General features: G+C 65.0%; 1 protein-coding gene and 1 long non-coding RNA gene across 2 annotated transcripts in view, besides 2 other annotated features; one reads left to right on the forward strand and one right to left on the reverse strand.

The window, feature by feature from the left end:
* The window catches only part of MUC5B (mucin 5B, oligomeric mucus/gel-forming), a 39,107-nt gene that overhangs the window by 6,743 nt on the left and 9,993 nt on the right, over positions 1-22,371 (forward strand). The window contains exons 11-31 of the mRNA NM_002458.3: positions 197-335; positions 682-792; positions 1,128-1,197; positions 1,615-1,752; positions 2,188-2,352; positions 2,642-2,736; positions 2,836-2,962; positions 3,205-3,460; positions 3,985-4,040; positions 4,397-4,497; positions 4,721-4,872; positions 5,277-5,415; positions 5,495-5,605; positions 6,578-6,754; positions 7,117-7,356; positions 9,063-9,219; positions 9,630-9,758; positions 9,991-10,135; positions 10,237-10,280; positions 10,370-10,567; positions 11,043-21,935. Coding sequence (NP_002449.2) covers positions 197-335; positions 682-792; positions 1,128-1,197; positions 1,615-1,752; positions 2,188-2,352; positions 2,642-2,736; positions 2,836-2,962; positions 3,205-3,460; positions 3,985-4,040; positions 4,397-4,497; positions 4,721-4,872; positions 5,277-5,415; positions 5,495-5,605; positions 6,578-6,754; positions 7,117-7,356; positions 9,063-9,219; positions 9,630-9,758; positions 9,991-10,135; positions 10,237-10,280; positions 10,370-10,567; positions 11,043-21,935 — 13,643 coding nt within the window. The remainder of the gene's footprint in view (positions 1-196; positions 336-681; positions 793-1,127; positions 1,198-1,614; positions 1,753-2,187; positions 2,353-2,641; positions 2,737-2,835; positions 2,963-3,204; positions 3,461-3,984; positions 4,041-4,396; positions 4,498-4,720; positions 4,873-5,276; positions 5,416-5,494; positions 5,606-6,577; positions 6,755-7,116; positions 7,357-9,062; positions 9,220-9,629; positions 9,759-9,990; positions 10,136-10,236; positions 10,281-10,369; positions 10,568-11,042; positions 21,936-22,371) is intronic.
* Positions 8,623-9,124: an enhancer, noted in NCBI's record as "H3K4me1 hESC enhancer chr11:1259661-1260162 (GRCh37/hg19 assembly coordinates)". NCBI's record gives its function as "activates a minimal SCP1, AML or CMV promoter by ChIP-STARR-seq in primed H9 embryonic stem cells {active_cell/tissue: H9 hESC(primed)}" and the evidence as "EXISTENCE:reporter gene assay evidence [ECO:0000049][PMID:30033119]".
* Positions 9,125-9,624: an enhancer, noted in NCBI's record as "H3K4me1 hESC enhancer chr11:1260163-1260662 (GRCh37/hg19 assembly coordinates)". NCBI's record gives its function as "activates a minimal SCP1, AML or CMV promoter by ChIP-STARR-seq in primed H9 embryonic stem cells {active_cell/tissue: H9 hESC(primed)}" and the evidence as "EXISTENCE:reporter gene assay evidence [ECO:0000049][PMID:30033119]".
* Positions 12,453-19,868, reverse strand: MUC5B-AS1 (MUC5B antisense RNA 1). The gene is made up of 2 exons (NR_157183.1): positions 19,813-19,868; positions 12,453-12,830 (listed from the first exon to the last, which is right to left on the reverse strand). It is a non-coding gene; the product is annotated as an MUC5B antisense RNA 1 (long non-coding RNA).

The raw sequence follows: 22,371 nt of genomic DNA on the forward strand, positions 1-22,371 counted from the left end.
TACTTATGAGCCCACCAGCCTCCGCCTGGGGTGGGGTGTGGAGCTCCTGGTATTTATGAACCCGCCAGCCTCTGCCTGGGGTGGGGGTGTGGAGCTCCTGGTGTGCACCCACCAGCCTCCGCCTGCGGTGGGGGTGTGGAGGGTGGGGCCCACCTCCTCCCGACATGCCGGTTCTGCTCACGGCCTCCCTCCCCAGCACCTGCTCCGGGGGGCTATGGCAGTGCCAGGACCTGCCGTGCCCTGGCACCTGCTCTGTGCAGGGCGGGGCCCACATCTCCACCTATGATGAGAAACTCTACGACCTGCATGGTGACTGCAGCTACGTTCTGTCCAAGGTCTGGGCTTGGGGCCGGGTCTTCAGACACCCAGACCCTCCTGGGACCCTCATGCCACTTCCACCCAGGGGAGGCCCCCACGATGGTCATAGAGGGGTGGATGTCCCTGCTGAGGGGGGAGCCCTGGGTCCCCATGATGGTCATAGAGGGATGGCTCTCCCTGCTGAGCGGCATGGGGCCAAGGAGCCCCCAGGCCCTGAGACAAGCTGCTGGGAGGTGACCAGAGGTGCCAAGGACCACCTCCCCACAGAGCCACATCCCCCACATGGGCATCCCCAGCACACTTCTGGGGGGCACCCCACATCATCGAGCCAGGCCCAATGCACGCGTGGGTCCTTCTCCCCAGAAATGTGCCGACAGCAGCTTCACCGTGCTGGCTGAGCTGCGGAAGTGCGGCCTGACGGACAACGAGAACTGCCTGAAAGCGGTGACGCTCAGCCTGGACGGCGGGGACACGGTGAGGACCTGGCTGGGGCCCTGGGCTGGGACAGGAAGAGGCATGCGAAGGTGTGTGGGGAGCAAGCACGGTCAGGTCCCCCTCCAGCCCCGAGGCCAGGTCCCCCCTCCAGCCCCCAGGCCAGGTCCCCCTCCAGCCCCCAGGTCAGGTCCCCCCTCCAGCCCTGAGGTCAGGTCCTCCCGGGGGGGCAATTGCAGAGCCCACCGCAGGTCCAGGTCTGAGCTTCTCTGTGGGCTCTGTCCCCAGTGGGGGCCCCTGGGCAGGCCACCCCCTCATTTGAGAGTCGGGAATGGGTTCCTCCCCAGAGCTGACCTCCCGCCCGCCTCCTTCCGCAGGCCATCCGGGTCCAAGCGGACGGCGGCGTGTTCCTCAACTCCATCTACACGCAGCTGCCCCTGTCGGCAGGTATGTGGCTCTCCCAGGACGGCCGGGCTGGGTGGCGCCTGCTTGCAGGGGCAGCTCCCACAGCCTGGGCAGCGTCCGCTCCATCCCTGCTAGTTCTCCGTGGCCTCGGGCAGCTCCAGGAGCTCCCTGTGCTCGGTTTCTCGTCTGCAGAGTGGGGATGCCAGGCTCCCACCCCGGCAGCGGCAGGGACCCCACATCCAGCTCGCTCAGCCCCACTCTCTCAGGGAGCCCGGTCTCCACCTGAGCCCACTTGGCGGCCACAGGCATGGGACAGGGAGCCTGAGGGCTCCTGGCCACTCCTGGGTCTCACTCCCGGGTCTCAGTGGGGTGGCCCGGCCCACTGGATGCCCTGCCCCTCCAATCTAGCCAGATCTGTCCCTGCACCCCTGACCGGCCTCTCCCCCACACTCCCGGCAGCCAACATCACCCTGTTCACACCCTCGAGCTTCTTCATCGTGGTGCAGACAGGCCTGGGGCTGCAGCTGCTGGTGCAGCTGGTGCCACTCATGCAGGTGTTTGTCAGGCTGGACCCCGCCCACCAGGGCCAGATGTGCGGTGAGGCTGGGCAGGGGCCTTCGGGGACAGGGCCATTGGGGACGGGGCCTGGACTAGCGCCAGGCTGCAGGGAGGGGCAGGCAGAGGCGGGCAGGGGACCGGGGAGGGGGCTGCCCCCAGGGCATGGCGGAGATCCTGGTGCCAGCGCAGGACACCAGCATTGGACCAGCGGCCCCGGAAGCAGCCAGCTGGGAGGATGGAGCGGGCAGCCCTGCCCTGGCTCAGGCCGACTTTGCACAGGGGCTGGCTTTGCACAGGGGCCGACTGCACAGGGGCGCCCCCCGCCAGGGCTTATCTGCAGAGGGTTCTGGGAGCAGAATCCTGGGACAGGGCTCCCAGCCGTTCCACCCTGTGTGGTGCCTGGAGGGATGGCAGGGGCCAGGAGCCAGGTGGGCCCAACAGTGGCCGCTGACATCCCCCAACCCTGGCCCCCAGGCCTGTGTGGGAACTTCAACCAGAACCAGGCTGACGACTTCACGGCCCTCAGCGGGGTGGTGGAGGCCACGGGCGCAGCCTTCGCCAACACCTGGAAGGCCCAGGCTGCCTGTGCCAATGCCAGGAACAGCTTTGAGGACCCCTGCTCCCTCAGTGTGGAGAATGGTACTCCTCGCCCCCACCCCCACAGTCACCCCAGGCTCAAGTCCCACCCAGCACCTTCCTGTCCCCTGGGCCACGGGGACCCCTGGGTGGGATTGGGGACCCCATGGAGGCAGGTGGGAGGCATCAGGAGGAGGTGCTTGGGGCCAGGCGGCCAGAACCCCCCAAGGCGCAGCAGGTGAGCCGCAAATTCCAACTCACTGTTCCCCGGGCTGAGGGGGTCGCAGGCCTGCGTGTCAGGGGTGTGGGCTTCGGGGCAGGGCGTGGAGATGAGGTCAGGTCTTCCCCACAGAGAACTACGCCCGGCACTGGTGCTCGCGCCTGACCGATCCCAACAGTGCCTTCTCGCGCTGCCACTCCATCATCAACCCCAAGCCCTTCCACTCGGTGAGAGGCTGAGGCCAGACCCCCACGCCTGGGCAGGATGGGTGGGGGAGCCCTGGCAGGCTGGGGTCCCTGACGCCCCGATGCCTCCCACCTCCGCAGAACTGCATGTTTGACACCTGCAACTGTGAGCGGAGCGAGGACTGCCTGTGCGCCGCGCTGTCCTCCTATGTGCACGCCTGTGCCGCCAAGGGCGTACAGCTCAGCGACTGGAGGGACGGCGTCTGCAGTGAGTGCCCACGCTGGGGGTGGGATGTGTCCACACCGCGTGGGGGTGCGGGGGACCCTGGCCGGCAGCAGCCGTCACTCACACGGTTCTCAGCCCAGAGCTTTGCACTTCCTCATCCCAGCCTCGCAAGAACCTCATGCCCTTGCGATCCCCACGTCACAGACGGGGATGCTGAGTTGAAGATGGGGGCTGGCCAGGCTGCTCGGCCGCTGACCTGTCCCCCCTGGCCCCACCGACCACAGCCAAGTACATGCAGAACTGCCCCAAGTCCCAGCGCTACGCCTACGTGGTGGATGCCTGCCAGCCCACTTGCCGCGGCCTGAGTGAGGCCGACGTCACCTGCAGCGTTTCCTTCGTGCCTGTGGACGGCTGCACCTGCCCCGCGGGCACCTTCCTCAATGACGCGGGCGCCTGTGTGCCCGCCCAGGAGTGCCCCTGCTACGCTCACGGCACCGTGCTGGCTCCTGGAGAGGTGGTGCACGACGAGGGCGCCGTGTGGTAAGGGTCTGGGGGGAAAGCAGGCCCCCCAGGTGCTCCTCAGAGCCACTTCCCGCCCTCCCCGAAGGCTTCTGTGCCTCCCCCCGAGGGTTCTGAGACATGAGGGGCCAGGCTGGGGAGAGTGGGGCAGGGTGGACCCAGCACATTCTGAAGAGAAAATTCCCAGCTGGGAAAGAGGCCAGGAGAGGAGGTGGCCCTGGGAGGACACCTGCTGGCTGTTCTCAGCTGGGTCCACATGGCAGCCCCTGCCAGGAAAGGTGGGTGGCCCCCACTCCCACCCTGGGCTCAAAGGCCGCTCCTAACCCCAGGGTCCTGGCTGCTTTGCTGCCCCCCTGTGTGTATTTACCCATGTGCCTCCAGGGGATTTGGGGGCTCCCAGCAAACACAGCAGCAGGCACCGTCTGGCCTTACAAGGAGGTGGCCAGGCTGGGGAGGCCCAGCGTTCGGCGGGGGCTCGGAAGCCCGGGGGTGGGGTCTGCGGGGTGAGGGCCGCAGATCCAGGCTGTGCCGTCTGTCTCTTGTAGTTCATGTACGGGTGGGAAGCTAAGCTGCCTGGGAGCCTCTCTGCAGAAAAGCACAGGTAAGTGCCACCCCTGCCCTGCCCTGCCCTGCCCCGCCCCGCATCACCCCGCCTGGCCTGGCCCCAACACGCCCCACCCTGCCCCACCCCACCTGAACCCTGCCGGGCCAGGTCAGTCCTCACCTGGGCTCTGCCACAGGCACCCATGCCCTGACACGCCAGGGACGGAGGGGCCAGTGGGTCTCTGCCCCGCAGTGTGGCCGGGGTGTCCTGGGGTTGGGGGCTGCAGGTGTCATGGAAGCTTTGGCTCGGGGGCTGTTAACTTGATCAGCAGGACAGGCTCAGGGCTGCCTGGGGTCAGTTGAGGGCCGTGGCTGCCCTTCCCCAGGACCCCTCCCACCAAGCTCTGTCCCCAGGGTGTGCAGCCCCCATGGTGTACCTGGACTGCAGCAACAGCTCGGCGGGCACCCCTGGGGCCGAGTGCCTCCGGAGCTGCCACACGCTGGACGTGGGCTGTGTGAGTTCCATGCTTCAGGGAGGGGTGGGCAGGGAAGGGGTCCCAGCTTTCCCAGCTCCCGAGCCCAGGGATCTGGTGGTCCTGGAGACACTTACCCACCTGGAAGCTCCGCCCTGGCCCATGCGTTGCCCTGGGTGCTGCTGGGTGCGCCTGTCCCAGAGGGTGAGTGACATCTGCCCACCCTGGTGTCCAGCCCTGACCGGTACCTGCCTGGGCCCCACAGTTCAGCACACACTGCGTGTCCGGCTGTGTCTGTCCCCCGGGGCTGGTGTCGGATGGGAGTGGGGGCTGCATTGCCGAGGAGGACTGCCCCTGTGTGCACAACGAGGCCACCTACAAGCCTGGAGAGACCATCAGGGTCGACTGCAACACCTGGTGGGTCGTGAGTCTCTCGGAGGCAGCAGGTGGGGAGGGCGGGGGCGGGGAGGGCAGCGGGTGGGGAGGCAGCGGGCAGGGAGGGCAGGGGGCGGGGAGGGCAGGGGGCCAGCTGGCCAGGGTGAGGTGGGGCCGTGGCAGGAGAGAGAGTTGCTAGGAAAGCCATGGGCCGTCCTGTGCGTCCTCTGGAAGGTGGCCCAGGGGCCGTGGTGCTACCAGGAGCCTGGTGGGGCTGCGTGCCCTGCATTCACAGTGGGGGACACCACTTCTTCCACGGAGGAGGGGTCAGGCTGGGCCTGGGGAGGCTGAGGCCCCGTGCTGACCTGCACAGGCCTGGGTGCCGGGTCTCAGGAAGGCCGGGAGAGCAGGCCCCTGTGAGCAGGCACCATTGTGGCCCCTTGCAGCACCTGCAGGAACCGGAGGTGGGAGTGCAGCCACCGGCTCTGCCTGGGCACCTGCGTGGCCTACGGGGATGGCCACTTCATCACCTTTGATGGCGATCGCTACAGCTTTGAAGGCAGCTGCGAGTACATCTTGGCCCAGGTACGCCGCCCCCTCGCCCACTCCTGCAGGCCGGGCACACTCCAGCCCGCGGCCAGCAGCTTGTCTCTTTCTGGCCCAGGACTACTGTGGGGACAACACCACCCACGGGACCTTCCGCATCGTCACCGAGAACATCCCCTGTGGGACCACCGGCACCACCTGCTCCAAGGCCATCAAGCTCTTCGTGGAGGTGAGAACGGCCCCAGCTGTGAGCACCCCCGACCCTGCAGCCAACGAGCCGGCCCCCAGGGAAGCTTCGTGAGGCTTTAGCTGCACCCACAGGTTCTCAGCAGTGTCCTGGCCCCGGGCTGCTGTTCCAAGCAGCCACAAACCAGGGGGCTTAGACAACAGAAATGCATTCTCAGTCCTGGAGCCGGAAGTCAGAGATCCAGGCGGGCAGGGCCACACTCCCTGTCGAGGGTCTGGGGAGGTCCTTCCTGCCTCTCCCAGCTTCACAGGCGGCAGGCGTCCCTGGGCTGTGGCTGCCTGTGGCCTCCCGCTGTGTCTGCGTCTGTCTTCTCTCTGTTTTTCTCTTCTGTCTCTTGTAAGGACACTGGTCATTGGATTTAGGGCCCCCCCCCGCCCCCACGTAGTCCAGGATGATCTCATTTCAAGATGCTTCACTTAATCCCGTCTGCAGAGATGCTTTCTCCCAGTGAGGGCCCGGGCTGAGGTTCTGGGAGTTCGCATGTGGACAGGCATTTTCAGGAGCCACGATTCACCCTGCCACACCTAGAGACACCCACTCCAGCAAAGGGGGGCCAGAGCTCCCAGGGGATAAAGCAGCGCCGCTGGCCGGGATGCTCCCTGCAGATGGCGGGAGGGGCTGAGGACCGCAGCGGGTCAGGGGAGGCTGGTGTGAGGGCGTGGGGGCTGCAGGGCTGGATGGGGAGCAGGGTGGGGTGGAGTGGGCCTACTGCAGCCTCTGCTGCTCCCGTGCAGCCCCAAGGTTCCCAGGCAGCCCCTGTTCCCAGCACTTCCTGGCCAGCCTCTTGCCAAACCTTCGCTGAGGGTCTCACGGACCCAGCTCACCCCTAACGCCAGCCGCTTGTGCTAAGAGCCCGTGCGCACCTGCAGAGCACTGGGTGGGGCATCCCTGGGTCTCAGGCCCCTCCCTGGGGGCCACAGGGTCGGCTTCCGGCAGCGTCTGCCTCCCCTGCAGAGCTACGAGCTGATCCTCCAAGAGGGGACCTTTAAGGCGGTGGCGAGAGGGCCGGGTGGGGACCCACCCTACAAGATACGCTACATGGGGATCTTCCTGGTCATCGAGACCCACGGGATGGCCGTGTCCTGGGACCGGAAGACCAGCGTGTTCATCCGACTGCACCAGGACTACAAGGTGAGCTCGGGCCGTGCACTCCTAGGCCCTGCAGGACCCTCTCACAGTGACAGAAACCCTGGTGCCAGGTGGGGTCTGTGGGACTCGCTGACCCGTGGGTGCGTGAGCCTGGCTGGTGAGGGCCCTGCCTGTGGCCTCCACAGTGGGCAGAGGATTTTGCAGGGAAGCAGGTGCCACCCAGCGGCCCACCCAGGGACCCACTGCACACCTGTCTCCTACAAGTTCACCAGGCACTGCCTGGGGAACCGGCTGCCCTCCCTCCATCCCCCGAGGGCTCTGGAGCCCAGGGTGGGCTCTGTGCTGCCTCCCACGGGTGCCTGTGGCCCCAGCTCCAGGGCCCCACTCTCTCGCTGCCTCTGCAGGGCAGGGTCTGCGGCCTGTGCGGGAACTTCGACGACAATGCCATCAATGACTTTGCCACGCGTAGCCGGTCCGTGGTGGGGGACGCACTGGAGTTTGGGAACAGCTGGAAGCTCTCCCCCTCCTGCCCGGACGCCCTGGCACCCAAGGACCCCTGCACGGCCAACCCCTTCCGCAAGTCCTGGGCCCAGAAGCAGTGCAGCATCCTCCACGGCCCCACCTTCGCCGCCTGCCGCTCCCAGGTGGGGCTCTGGTCTTGGCAGGCAGGGTCTGGTGGGGATGGCAGTTGCTTCCTTCCCGCCGAGAACTGGGTCTTCTGGGCAGACAGCAGCGCTCCAAGGAGGGTCTGACCATGTCCCACGGCACACAGTCCTGGATGTCAGGTCCCAAGTCCGGATCTCCCGTCAGCCCCACACCTGTGCCTCTTGCCCCTGGCACGAAGCCATCTTGGCTGTTTCCCGGCCACTCCTTTGACCACAGCCTCAGTCACACCCAGAGGCTCACAGGGAGGGGCAGCCCTCTATGTGGCCCCTAGCCACCCTCCTCTATGATCCCCAGACCTGCCCAGTCCTCAGCACAAACTGGAATGCCAGCCTGGCTCCCCGCTCAGCCAGGGAGGAATCAGAGATCTGCCCTAAGCAGAGACTTCCAAAAAGCAGTTTCCTGACTGGGCGCGGTGGCTCATGTCTGTAATCCCAGCACTTTGGGACGCTGAGGCAGGTGGATCACCTGAGGTCAGGAGTTTGAGACCAGCCTGGTCAACATGGCGAAACCCCGTCTCTACAAAAAATACAAAAATAGCCGGGTGTGGTGGTGTGTGCCTGTAATCCCAGCTACTCGGGAGGCTGAGGCAGGAGAATCACTTGAACCTGGGAAGAGGAGGTTGCAGTGAGCCAAGATCGTGCCACTGCACTCCAGCCTAAGCAAAAAGAGTGAGACTCTGTCTCAAAACAAAACAACAAAAAACCAAAAAGCAGTTTCGTGTCATCTTAAGGAAGACTTGAGTGCCCACTTAGGCACACAGCATGGTGGCTCAGGAGCTGAGATGAGGGGCTGGCGTAGGGGCAGCAGTGGGCATACTCGCTCGTGGGAGGCCCTGAAGCACTCTCATGTCGGCCGCCGCTTGCCCTCTTGAGAAGGCAGCTGGTGACCCCTTGGAAGGTCCTGTGGCCTGACAAAGCTGAGCCCAGGTTCAGATGGGGCCTGGGAGGGGTGTGGGCTGCCTGGAGGAAGCAGGCAGCTTCCCATGGTCAGGACGCATTCACAGCTCAGCTCCCCGCGTGGCTGGTCTGGAAAGGAAGTGACCACTCCTTCCTTAGTGCACATTCACTGGGTGCCTGGAATAGCCTGGCATGTTCTGGGCTCACCCCAGTGATCAGGGGACGAGGCTGACCCTCACAGAGCTTCCAGAGGAGGCAGAAAGGCGGTGGGTGCTGGGTGGTCGGATGCTAGGATGTGGAGGGCCCTGGCCGGGGGTTGGTTCCGCTGGAGGGAAGGCCCCCAGGTGGAAAGGAGGCCAGTACGACTGCAGCGGAGGGAGGTGGGGGCGAGGGCAGAGGGTAAGCAGGGGTGCTATGCTCCACATGGGTTTGAAACCTGTGGGCCACATGACCAGATCCACGTGATAGAAAGATCCAAAGAGCACATGTGAAGGCAGGCAGATGGGCAGGTGCATAGGTGGGCAGGTGCATAGGTGGGCAGATGGACAGGTGGGCAGATGGGCAGGTGGGCAGGGATATAGGTGGACGAGGGCACAGGTGGGCTGGAGAAGTGCTGGGGCAGCTCCCATTTGGGGCACGCTCTGAGGTATTCCAGGCCCCAGGAGCTCAGAGAGCTGCCATGGGGGGTGTTGAAATACAGATGGTTCCAGCAACTGGCCCTGGGCCAGCCACCCCCTGGCCGGGGGGGCCATTGTCCCGGCTGAGCTGCACCTTGGCCTCACCCGCAGGTTGACTCCACCAAGTACTACGAGGCCTGCGTGAACGACGCGTGTGCCTGCGACTCGGGTGGCGACTGCGAGTGTTTCTGCACGGCTGTGGCTGCCTACGCCCAGGCCTGCCACGACGCGGGCCTGTGTGTGTCCTGGCGGACTCCGGACACCTGCCGTGAGTCGGGCTCTGTCCGTGGTGCTGAAGGGTGGAGCTGCTGGGGCAGGGGAGGAGGTGTGGCAGCCTCCGAAGGTGCATTGACCTGGGCCTGAGCCGCACACAGACATCCAACACGCATGTGCCTCCATGTGAGTGCACAAGTTTCTATGCACAGAGGAAGACCTGTGCAAAACCACCAGACAGGTTGCCCCAGCATGAGACAGCTCCTAGGGGACAAGAGTTCCAAGGGCAGGGCTGGGGAGTGGAGGGGAAGGTGAGGCACCACCCGGCCGAGGCCCTGCATGTCTGGGACAAGCCCGGGTCTGGCTCTGGGGACACCGGCCCCCACGCCCGGGGTAGGGGCTGCCCTGCACAACAGGGGTGAGGGCTGGTGGGCGCCTCCTTAGCCTCTGCCCTCTGTGCCCCAGCCTTGTTCTGTGACTTCTACAACCCACATGGGGGCTGTGAGTGGCACTACCAGCCCTGCGGGGCACCCTGCCTAAAAACCTGCCGGAACCCCAGTGGGCACTGCCTGGTGGACCTGCCTGGCCTGGAAGGTGAGGGGCAGCCTTTCTTGGATGGAGCCTCCTCTCCTTGGGTTCCCGAGTGTACGTGGGGGGGCGGGGATCCCCAGGGACGCGGTGTAGGCTCCCGTAAACTGCACAATGCAAGCCTTGAGGGCAGGCCCCTGCTGGCTGGTGGGGGGCGGCTACTCCCTGCAGCATGGAGCCCCTGGCTGGAGAGACTAAAGGGCCCTGGTGAGTCTTCTGCTCACCCTGCCGGCCCTAGGCTGCTACCCGAAGTGCCCACCCAGCCAGCCCTTCTTCAATGAGGACCAGATGAAGTGCGTGGCCCAGTGTGGCTGCTACGACAAGGACGGAAACTACTATGACGTCGGTGCAAGGGTCCCCACAGCGGAGAACTGCCAGAGCTGGTGAGGGGGTGGGAAGCGGGTGGCGCTGGGGGAGCAGGGCTGGGGAGCAGGCCCTGCAGGCTGCCCCCCAGGCCCTCAGCTCGCCTCTCCCCCACCCCTAGTAACTGCACACCCAGTGGCATCCAGTGCGCTCACAGCCTTGAGGGTAAGGAAGGGCCGGGGGGTTAGTGGGCCGGTGAAGGCTGGGGCCAGGGGCTCGGAGGCCCTGGGTGACTCTGCCGGCTCCATCCCCAGCCTGCACCTGCACCTATGAGGACAGGACCTACAGCTACCAGGACGTCATCTACAACACCACCGATGGGCTTGGCGCCTGCTTGATCGCCATCTGCGGAAGCAACGGCACCATCATCAGGAAGGCTGTGGCATGTCCTGGAACTCCAGCCACAACGCCATTCACCTTCACCACCGCCTGGGTCCCCCACTCCACGACAAGTAAGCCCTGCCTGGCTCTCCTGAGGCCCAGTACCGTCTGGGTGACAAGGAGGACCCCCTGGGCTCTTAGTGCAGGTGCCCTGTATGGTAGCGACAGTCCCAATCCACTGACCTTCCGGGCTCTGTCTAGGGGTGCACGGCCCCTCAACACCCTGCGTGTCTCCAGGGGCTCCCCACGAAGCCTCAGCACAATGATTGATGGGATACCCCAAGGAGACAATAAAGCTTTCCTGGACTCCGTCCCATCCCTCAGCACGGCCTATCCCAGCCAGCCAGCTCCCTCAAGGCCAGGCTGCCAGGCCCCAGTCCCTCATGCAGAAACGGCTCTAACCAAGGCTGAGGCAGGCACTGGGGTCCCCAGTATCCCACAGGGGCAGGGCCAGCCCTGGGGAAAGGGTCCTCTGGGGCCCCTCCACCTTGTGAGGCCAGGACTGGAGGATGCTGAGCCAGGACCCCTTTCCCATGCCCCTTGCAGGCCCGGCCCTCCCGGTCTCCACCGTGTGTGTCCGCGAGGTCTGCCGCTGGTCCAGCTGGTACAATGGGCACCGCCCAGAGCCCGGCCTGGGAGGCGGAGACTTTGAGACGTTTGAAAACCTGAGGCAGAGAGGGTACCAGGTATGCCCTGTGCTGGCTGACATCGAGTGCCGGGCGGCGCAGCTTCCCGACATGCCGCTGGAGGAGCTGGGCCAGCAGGTGGACTGTGACCGCATGCGGGGGCTGATGTGCGCCAACAGCCAACAGAGTCCCCCGCTCTGTCACGACTACGAGCTGCGGGTTCTCTGCTGCGAATACGTGCCCTGTGGCCCCTCCCCGGCCCCAGGCACCAGCCCTCAGCCCTCCCTCAGTGCCAGCACGGAGCCTGCTGTGCCTACCCCAACCCAGACCACAGCAACCGAAAAGACCACCCTATGGGTGACCCCGAGCATCCGGTCGACGGCGGCCCTCACCTCGCAGACTGGGTCCAGCTCAGGCCCCGTGACGGTCACCCCCTCGGCCCCAGGTACCACCACCTGCCAGCCCCGGTGTCAGTGGACAGAGTGGTTTGATGAGGACTACCCCAAGTCTGAACAACTTGGAGGGGACGTTGAGTCCTACGATAAGATCAGGGCCGCTGGAGGGCACTTATGCCAGCAGCCTAAGGACATAGAGTGCCAGGCCGAGAGCTTCCCCAACTGGACCCTGGCACAGGTGGGGCAGAAGGTGCACTGTGACGTCCACTTCGGCCTGGTGTGCAGGAACTGGGAGCAGGAGGGCGTCTTCAAGATGTGCTACAACTACAGGATCCGGGTCCTCTGCTGCAGTGACGACCACTGCAGGGGACGTGCCACAACCCCGCCACCGACCACAGAGCTGGAGACGGCCACCACCACCACCACCCAGGCCCTGTTCTCAACGCCGCAGCCTACGAGTAGCCCGGGGCTGACCAGGGCTCCCCCGGCCAGCACCACAGCAGTCCCCACCCTCTCAGAAGGACTGACATCCCCCAGATACACAAGCACCCTTGGTACAGCCACCACGGGAGGCCCCACGACGCCTGCAGGCTCCACAGAACCCACTGTCCCAGGGGTGGCCACATCCACCCTTCCAACACGCTCAGCCCTTCCAGGGACGACGGGGAGCTTGGGCACATGGCGCCCCTCACAGCCACCCACGCTGGCCCCAACAACAATGGCAACCTCCAGAGCTCGCCCGACAGGCACAGCCAGCACCGCTTCCAAAGAGCCGCTGACCACGAGCCTGGCGCCAACACTCACGAGCGAGCTGTCCACCTCTCAGGCCGAGACCAGCACGCCCAGGACAGAGACGACAATGAGCCCCTTGACTAACACCACCACCAGCCAGGGCACGACCCGCTGTCAACCGAAGTGTGAGTGGACAGAGTGGTTTGACGTGGACTTCCCAACCTCAGGGGTTGCAGGCGGGGACATGGAAACTTTTGAAAACATCAGGGCTGCTGGGGGCAAGATGTGCTGGGCACCAAAGAGCATAGAGTGCCGGGCGGAGAACTACCCCGAGGTAAGCATCGACCAGGTCGGGCAGGTGCTGACCTGCAGCCTGGAGACGGGGCTGACCTGCAAGAACGAAGACCAGACAGGCAGGTTCAACATGTGCTTCAACTACAACGTGCGTGTGCTTTGCTGTGACGACTACAGCCACTGCCCCAGTACCCCAGCCACCAGCTCCACGGCCACGCCCTCCTCAACTCCGGGGACGACCTGGATCCTCACAAAGCCGACCACAACAGCCACTACGACTGCGTCCACTGGATCCACGGCCACCCCGACCTCCACCCTGAGAACAGCTCCCCCTCCCAAAGTGCTGACCACCACGGCCACCACACCCACAGTCACCAGCTCCAAAGCCACTCCCTCCTCCAGTCCAGGGACTGCAACCGCCCTTCCAGCACTGAGAAGCACAGCCACCACACCCACAGCTACCAGCGTTACACCCATCCCCTCTTCCTCCCTGGGCACCACCTGGACCCGCCTATCACAGACCACCACACCCACGGCCACCATGTCCACAGCCACACCCTCCTCCACTCCAGAGACTGCCCACACCTCCACAGTGCTTACCGCCACGGCCACCACAACTGGGGCCACCGGCTCTGTGGCCACCCCCTCCTCCACCCCAGGAACAGCTCACACTACCAAAGTGCCAACTACCACAACCACGGGCTTCACAGCCACCCCCTCCTCCAGCCCAGGGACGGCACTCACGCCTCCAGTGTGGATCAGCACAACCACCACACCCACAACCAGAGGCTCCACGGTGACCCCCTCCTCCATCCCGGGGACCACCCACACCGCCACAGTGCTGACCACCACCACCACAACTGTGGCCACTGGTTCTATGGCAACACCCTCCTCTAGCACACAGACCAGTGGTACTCCCCCATCACTGACCACCACGGCCACTACGATCACGGCCACCGGCTCCACCACCAACCCCTCCTCAACTCCTGGGACAACTCCCATCCCCCCAGTGCTGACCACCACCGCCACCACACCTGCAGCCACCAGCAACACAGTGACTCCCTCCTCTGCCCTAGGGACCACCCACACACCCCCAGTGCCGAACACCATGGCCACCACACACGGGCGATCCCTGCCCCCCAGCAGTCCCCACACGGTGCGCACAGCCTGGACTTCGGCCACCTCGGGCATCTTGGGCACCACCCACATCACAGAGCCTTCCACGGTGACTTCCCACACCCTAGCAGCAACCACCGGTACCACCCAGCACTCGACTCCAGCCCTTTCCAGCCCTCACCCTAGCAGCAGAACCACCGAGTCACCCCCTTCTCCAGGGACGACCACCCCGGGCCACACCACGGCCACCTCCAGGACCACAGCCACGGCCACACCCAGCAAGACCCGCACCTCGACCCTGCTGCCCAGCAGCCCCACATCGGCCCCCATAACCACGGTGGTGACCATGGGCTGTGAGCCCCAGTGTGCCTGGTCAGAGTGGCTGGACTACAGCTACCCCATGCCGGGGCCCTCTGGCGGGGACTTTGACACCTACTCCAACATCCGTGCGGCCGGAGGGGCCGTCTGTGAGCAGCCCCTGGGCCTCGAGTGCCGTGCCCAGGCCCAGCCTGGTGTCCCCCTGCGGGAGTTGGGCCAGGTCGTGGAATGCAGCCTGGACTTTGGCCTGGTCTGCAGGAACCGTGAGCAGGTGGGGAAGTTCAAGATGTGCTTCAACTATGAAATCCGTGTGTTCTGCTGCAACTACGGCCACTGCCCCAGCACCCCGGCCACCAGCTCTACGGCCATGCCCTCCTCCACTCCGGGGACGACCTGGATCCTCACAGAGCTGACCACAACAGCCACTACGACTGAGTCCACTGGATCCACGGCCACCCCGTCCTCCACCCCAGGGACCACCTGGATCCTCACAGAGCCGAGCACTACAGCCACCGTGACGGTGCCCACCGGATCCACGGCCACCGCCTCCTCCACCCAGGCAACTGCTGGCACCCCACATGTGAGCACCACGGCCACGACACCCACAGTCACCAGCTCCAAAGCCACTCCCTTCTCCAGTCCAGGGACTGCAACCGCCCTTCCAGCACTGAGAAGCACAGCCACCACACCCACAGCTACCAGCTTTACAGCCATCCCCTCCTCCTCCCTGGGCACCACCTGGACCCGCCTATCACAGACCACCACACCCACGGCCACCATGTCCACAGCCACACCCTCCTCCACTCCAGAGACTGTCCACACCTCCACAGTGCTTACCACCACGGCCACCACAACCGGGGCCACCGGCTCTGTGGCCACCCCCTCCTCCACCCCAGGAACAGCTCACACTACCAAAGTGCTGACTACCACAACCACGGGCTTCACAGCCACCCCCTCCTCCAGCCCAGGGACGGCACGCACGCTTCCAGTGTGGATCAGCACAACCACCACACCCACAACCAGAGGTTCCACGGTGACCCCCTCCTCCATCCCGGGGACCACCCACACCCCCACAGTGCTGACCACCACCACCACAACTGTGGCCACTGGTTCTATGGCAACACCCTCCTCTAGCACACAGACCAGTGGTACTCCCCCATCACTGACCACCACGGCCACTACGATCACGGCCACCGGCTCCACCACCAACCCCTCCTCAACTCCAGGGACAACACCTATCCCCCCAGTGCTGACCACCACCGCCACCACACCTGCAGCCACCAGCAGCACAGTGACTCCCTCCTCTGCCCTAGGGACCACCCACACACCCCCAGTGCCGAACACCACGGCCACCACACACGGGCGATCCCTGTCCCCCAGCAGTCCCCACACGGTGCGCACAGCCTGGACTTCGGCCACCTCAGGCACCTTGGGCACCACCCACATCACAGAGCCTTCCACGGGGACTTCCCACACCCCAGCAGCAACCACCGGTACCACCCAGCACTCGACTCCAGCCCTGTCCAGCCCTCACCCTAGCAGCAGGACCACCGAGTCACCCCCTTCTCCAGGGACGACCACCCCGGGCCACACCAGGGCCACCTCCAGGACCACGGCCACGGCCACACCCAGCAAGACCCGCACCTCGACCCTGCTGCCCAGCAGCCCCACATCGGCCCCAATAACCACGGTGGTGACCATGGGCTGTGAGCCCCAGTGTGCCTGGTCAGAGTGGCTGGACTACAGCTACCCCATGCCGGGGCCCTCTGGCGGGGACTTTGACACCTACTCCAACATCCGTGCGGCCGGAGGGGCCGTCTGTGAGCAGCCCCTGGGCCTCGAGTGCCGTGCCCAGGCCCAGCCTGGTGTCCCCCTGCGGGAGTTGGGCCAGGTCGTGGAATGCAGCCTGGACTTTGGCCTGGTCTGCAGGAACCGTGAGCAGGTGGGGAAGTTCAAGATGTGCTTCAACTATGAAATCCGTGTGTTCTGCTGCAACTACGGCCACTGCCCCAGCACCCCGGCCACCAGCTCTACGGCCACGCCCTCCTCCACTCCAGGGACGACCTGGATCCTCACAGAGCAGACCACAGCAGCCACTACGACCGCAACCACTGGATCCACGGCCATCCCGTCCTCCACCCCGGGAACAGCTCCCCCTCCCAAAGTGCTGACCAGCACGGCCACCACACCCACAGCCACCAGTTCCAAAGCCACTTCCTCCTCCAGTCCAAGGACTGCAACCACCCTTCCAGTGCTGACAAGCACAGCCACCAAATCCACAGCTACCAGCTTTACACCCATCCCCTCCTTCACCCTTGGGACCACCGGGACCCTCCCAGAACAGACCACCACACCCATGGCCACCATGTCCACAATCCACCCCTCCTCCACTCCGGAGACCACCCACACCTCCACAGTGCTGACCACGAAGGCCACCACGACAAGGGCCACCAGTTCCATGTCCACCCCCTCCTCCACTCCGGGGACGACCTGGATCCTCACAGAGCTGACCACAGCAGCCACTACAACTGCAGCCACTGGCCCCACGGCCACCCCGTCCTCCACCCCAGGGACCACCTGGATCCTCACAGAGCCCAGCACTACAGCCACCGTGACGGTGCCCACCGGATCCACGGCCACCGCCTCCTCCACCCGGGCAACTGCTGGCACCCTCAAAGTGCTGACCAGCACGGCCACCACACCCACAGTCATCAGCTCCAGAGCCACTCCCTCCTCCAGTCCAGGGACTGCAACCGCCCTTCCAGCACTGAGAAGCACAGCCACCACACCCACAGCTACCAGCGTTACAGCCATCCCCTCTTCCTCCCTGGGCACCGCCTGGACCCGCCTATCACAGACCACCACACCCACGGCCACCATGTCCACAGCCACACCCTCCTCTACTCCAGAGACTGTCCACACCTCCACAGTGCTTACCACCACGACCACCACAACCAGGGCCACCGGCTCTGTGGCCACCCCCTCCTCCACCCCAGGAACAGCTCACACTACCAAAGTGCCGACTACCACAACCACGGGCTTCACAGCCACCCCCTCCTCCAGCCCAGGGACGGCACTCACGCCTCCAGTGTGGATCAGCACAACCACCACACCCACAACCAGAGGCTCCACGGTGACCCCCTCCTCCATCCCGGGGACCACCCACACCGCCACAGTGCTGACCACCACCACCACAACTGTGGCCACTGGTTCTATGGCAACACCCTCCTCTAGCACACAGACCAGTGGTACTCCCCCATCACTGACCACCACGGCCACTACGATCACAGCCACCGGCTCCACCACCAACCCCTCCTCAACTCCAGGGACAACTCCCATCCCCCCAGTGCTGACCACCACCGCCACCACACCTGCAGCCACCAGCAGCACAGTGACTCCCTCCTCTGCCCTAGGGACCACCCACACACCCCCAGTGCCGAACACCACGGCCACCACACACGGGCGGTCCCTGCCCCCCAGCAGTCCCCACACGGTGCGCACAGCCTGGACTTCGGCCACCTCGGGCATCTTGGGCACCACCCACATCACAGAGCCTTCCACGGTGACTTCCCACACCCCAGCAGCAACCACCAGTACCACCCAGCACTCGACTCCAGCCCTGTCCAGCCCTCACCCTAGCAGCAGGACCACCGAGTCACCCCCTTCTCCAGGGACGACCACCCCGGGCCACACCAGGGGCACCTCCAGGACCACAGCCACAGCCACACCCAGCAAGACCCGCACCTCGACCCTGCTGCCCAGCAGCCCCACATCGGCCCCCATAACCACGGTGGTGACCACGGGCTGTGAGCCCCAGTGTGCCTGGTCAGAGTGGCTGGACTACAGCTACCCCATGCCGGGGCCCTCTGGCGGGGACTTTGACACCTACTCCAACATCCGTGCGGCCGGAGGGGCAGTCTGTGAGCAGCCCCTGGGCCTCGAGTGCCGTGCCCAGGCCCAGCCTGGTGTCCCCCTGCGGGAGTTGGGCCAGGTCGTGGAATGCAGCCTGGACTTTGGCCTGGTCTGCAGGAACCGTGAGCAGGTGGGGAAGTTCAAGATGTGCTTCAACTATGAAATCCGTGTGTTCTGCTGCAACTACGGCCACTGCCCCAGCACCCCGGCCACCAGCTCTACGGCCACGCCCTCCTCAACTCCGGGGACGACCTGGATCCTCACAAAGCTGACCACAACAGCCACTACGACTGAGTCCACTGGATCCACGGCCACCCCGTCCTCCACCCCAGGGACCACCTGGATCCTCACAGAGCCGAGCACTACAGCCACCGTGACGGTGCCCACCGGATCCACGGCCACCGCCTCCTCCACCCAGGCAACTGCTGGCACCCCACATGTGAGCACCACGGCCACGACACCCACAGTCACCAGCTCCAAAGCCACTCCCTTCTCCAGTCCAGGGACTGCAACCGCCCTTCCAGCACTGAGAAGCACAGCCACCACACCCACAGCTACCAGCTTTACAGCCATCCCCTCCTCCTCCCTGGGCACCACCTGGACCCGCCTATCACAGACCACCACACCCACGGCCACCATGTCCACAGCCACACCCTCCTCCACTCCAGAGACTGCCCACACCTCCACAGTGCTTACCACCACGGCCACCACAACCAGGGCCACCGGCTCTGTGGCCACCCCCTCTTCCACCCCAGGAACAGCTCACACTACCAAAGTGCCGACTACCACAACCACGGGCTTCACAGTCACCCCCTCCTCCAGCCCAGGGACGGCACGCACGCCTCCAGTGTGGATCAGCACAACCACCACACCCACAACCAGTGGCTCCACGGTGACCCCCTCCTCCGTCCCGGGGACCACCCACACCCCCACAGTGCTGACCACCACCACCACAACTGTGGCCACTGGTTCTATGGCAACACCCTCCTCTAGCACACAGACCAGTGGTACTCCCCCATCACTGATCACCACGGCCACTACGATCACGGCCACCGGCTCCACCACCAACCCCTCCTCAACTCCAGGGACAACACCTATCCCCCCAGTGCTGACCACCACCGCCACCACACCTGCAGCCACCAGCAGCACAGTGACTCCCTCCTCTGCCCTAGGGACCACCCACACACCCCCAGTGCCGAACACCACGGCCACCACACACGGGCGATCCCTGTCCCCCAGCAGTCCCCACACGGTGCGCACAGCCTGGACTTCGGCCACCTCAGGCACCTTGGGCACCACCCACATCACAGAGCCTTCCACGGGGACTTCCCACACCCCAGCAGCAACCACCGGTACCACCCAGCACTCGACTCCAGCCCTGTCCAGCCCTCACCCTAGCAGCAGGACCACCGAGTCACCCCCTTCCCCAGGGACGACCACCCCGGGCCACACCACGGCCACCTCCAGGACCACGGCCACGGCCACACCCAGCAAGACCCGCACCTCGACCCTGCTGCCCAGCAGCCCCACATCGGCCCCCATAACCACGGTGGTGACCACGGGCTGTGAGCCCCAGTGTGCCTGGTCAGAGTGGCTGGACTACAGCTACCCCATGCCGGGGCCCTCTGGCGGGGACTTTGACACCTACTCCAACATCCGTGCGGCCGGAGGGGCCGTCTGTGAGCAGCCCCTGGGCCTCGAGTGCCGTGCCCAGGCCCAGCCTGGTGTCCCCCTGGGGGAGTTGGGCCAGGTCGTGGAATGCAGCCTGGACTTTGGCCTGGTCTGCAGGAACCGTGAGCAGGTGGGGAAGTTCAAGATGTGCTTCAACTATGAAATCCGTGTGTTCTGCTGCAACTACGGCCACTGCCCCAGCACCCCGGCCACCAGCTCTACGGCCATGCCCTCCTCCACTCCGGGGACGACCTGGATCCTCACAGAGCTGACCACAACAGCCACTACGACTGCATCCACTGGATCCACGGCCACCCCGTCCTCCACCCCGGGAACAGCTCCCCCTCCCAAAGTGCTGACCAGCCCGGCCACCACACCCACAGCCACCAGTTCCAAAGCCACTTCCTCCTCCAGTCCAAGGACTGCAACCACCCTTCCAGTGCTGACAAGCACAGCCACCAAATCCACAGCTACCAGCGTTACACCCATCCCCTCCTCCACCCTTGGGACCACCGGGACCCTCCCAGAACAGACCACCACACCCGTGGCCACCATGTCCACAATCCACCCCTCCTCCACTCCGGAGACCACCCACACCTCCACAGTGCTGACCACGAAGGCCACCACGACAAGGGCCACCAGTTCCACGTCCACCCCCTCCTCCACTCCGGGGACGACCTGGATCCTCACAGAGCTGACCACAGCAGCCACTACAACTGCAGCCACTGGCCCCACGGCCACCCCGTCCTCCACCCCAGGGACCACCTGGATCCTCACAGAGCTGACCACAACAGCCACTACGACTGCGTCCACTGGATCCACGGCCACCCCGTCCTCCACCCCAGGGACCACCTGGATCCTCACAGAGCCGAGCACTACAGCCACCGTGACGGTGCCCACCGGATCCACGGCCACCGCCTCCTCCACCCAGGCAACTGCTGGCACCCCACATGTGAGCACCACGGCCACGACACCCACAGTCACCAGCTCCAAAGCCACTCCCTCCTCCAGTCCAGGGACTGCAACTGCCCTTCCAGCACTGAGAAGCACAGCCACCACACCCACAGCTACCAGCTTTACAGCCATCCCCTCCTCCTCCCTGGGCACCACCTGGACCCGCCTATCACAGACCACCACACCCACGGCCACCATGTCCACAGCCACACCCTCCTCCACTCCAGAGACTGTCCACACCTCCACAGTGCTTACCGCCACGGCCACCACAACCGGGGCCACCGGCTCTGTGGCCACCCCCTCCTCCACCCCAGGAACAGCTCACACTACCAAAGTGCCGACTACCACAACCACGGGCTTCACAGCCACCCCCTCCTCCAGCCCAGGGACGGCACTCACGCCTCCAGTGTGGATCAGCACAACCACCACACCCACAACCACCACACCCACAACCAGTGGCTCCACGGTGACCCCCTCCTCCATCCCGGGGACCACCCACACCGCCAGAGTGCTGACCACCACCACCACAACTGTGGCCACTGGTTCTATGGCAACACCCTCCTCTAGCACACAGACCAGTGGTACTCCCCCATCACTGACCACCACGGCCACTACGATCACGGCCACCGGCTCCACCACCAACCCCTCCTCAACTCCAGGGACAACACCCATCACCCCAGTGCTGACCAGCACGGCCACCACACCCGCAGCCACCAGCTCCAAAGCCACTTCCTCCTCCAGTCCAAGGACTGCAACCACCCTTCCAGTGCTGACAAGCACAGCCACAAAATCCACAGCTACCAGCTTTACACCCATCCCCTCCTCCACCCTGTGGACCACGTGGACCGTCCCAGCACAGACCACCACACCCATGTCCACCATGTCCACAATCCACACCTCCTCTACTCCAGAGACCACCCACACCTCCACAGTGCTGACCACCACAGCCACCATGACAAGGGCCACCAATTCCACGGCCACACCCTCCTCCACTCTGGGGACGACCCGGATCCTCACTGAGCTGACCACAACAGCCACTACAACTGCAGCCACTGGATCCACGGCCACCCTGTCCTCCACCCCAGGGACCACCTGGATCCTCACAGAGCCGAGCACTATAGCCACCGTGATGGTGCCCACCGGTTCCACGGCCACCGCCTCCTCCACTCTGGGAACAGCTCACACCCCCAAAGTGGTGACCACCATGGCCACTATGCCCACAGCCACTGCCTCCACGGTTCCCAGCTCGTCCACCGTGGGGACCACCCGCACCCCTGCAGTGCTCCCCAGCAGCCTGCCAACCTTCAGCGTGTCCACTGTGTCCTCCTCAGTCCTCACCACCCTGAGACCCACTGGCTTCCCCAGCTCCCACTTCTCTACTCCCTGCTTCTGCAGGGCATTTGGACAGTTTTTCTCGCCCGGTGAGTGCATGTGGATAACACTGCTGTACCCTTTCCCCACATGCTATGCCAACCTGGGTCTGCCTGTCCTGGGAGCCAGTGGCTTTCTCCCTGCTGGTCATGTTTGTTCCCCACTGGCCTCACTTGGCCCCTCCCGGCCACACTGGGTCCCCACTGGCCACACTGGGTCTCCTCTGGCCACAATCCGTCCGCACTGGCCACAATCAGTCCCCACTGGCCACACTTGGTCCCCACTGGCCACAATGCGTCCCCCTTGGCCACATTCGGTCTCCCCTGGACACAATCCATCCCCACTGGCCACACTGGGTCTCCTCTGGCCACAATCCGTCCGCACTGGCCACAATCAGTCCCCACTGGCCACACTCGGTCCCCACTGGCCACAATCCATCCCCACTGGCCACACTCGGTCCCCACTGGTCACAATCCGTCCCCAGTG

Source organism: Homo sapiens, chromosome 11 (assembly GCF_000001405.40).
Source record: "Homo sapiens chromosome 11, GRCh38.p14 Primary Assembly".
Lineage (NCBI taxonomy): Eukaryota > Metazoa > Chordata > Mammalia > Primates > Hominidae > Homo > Homo sapiens.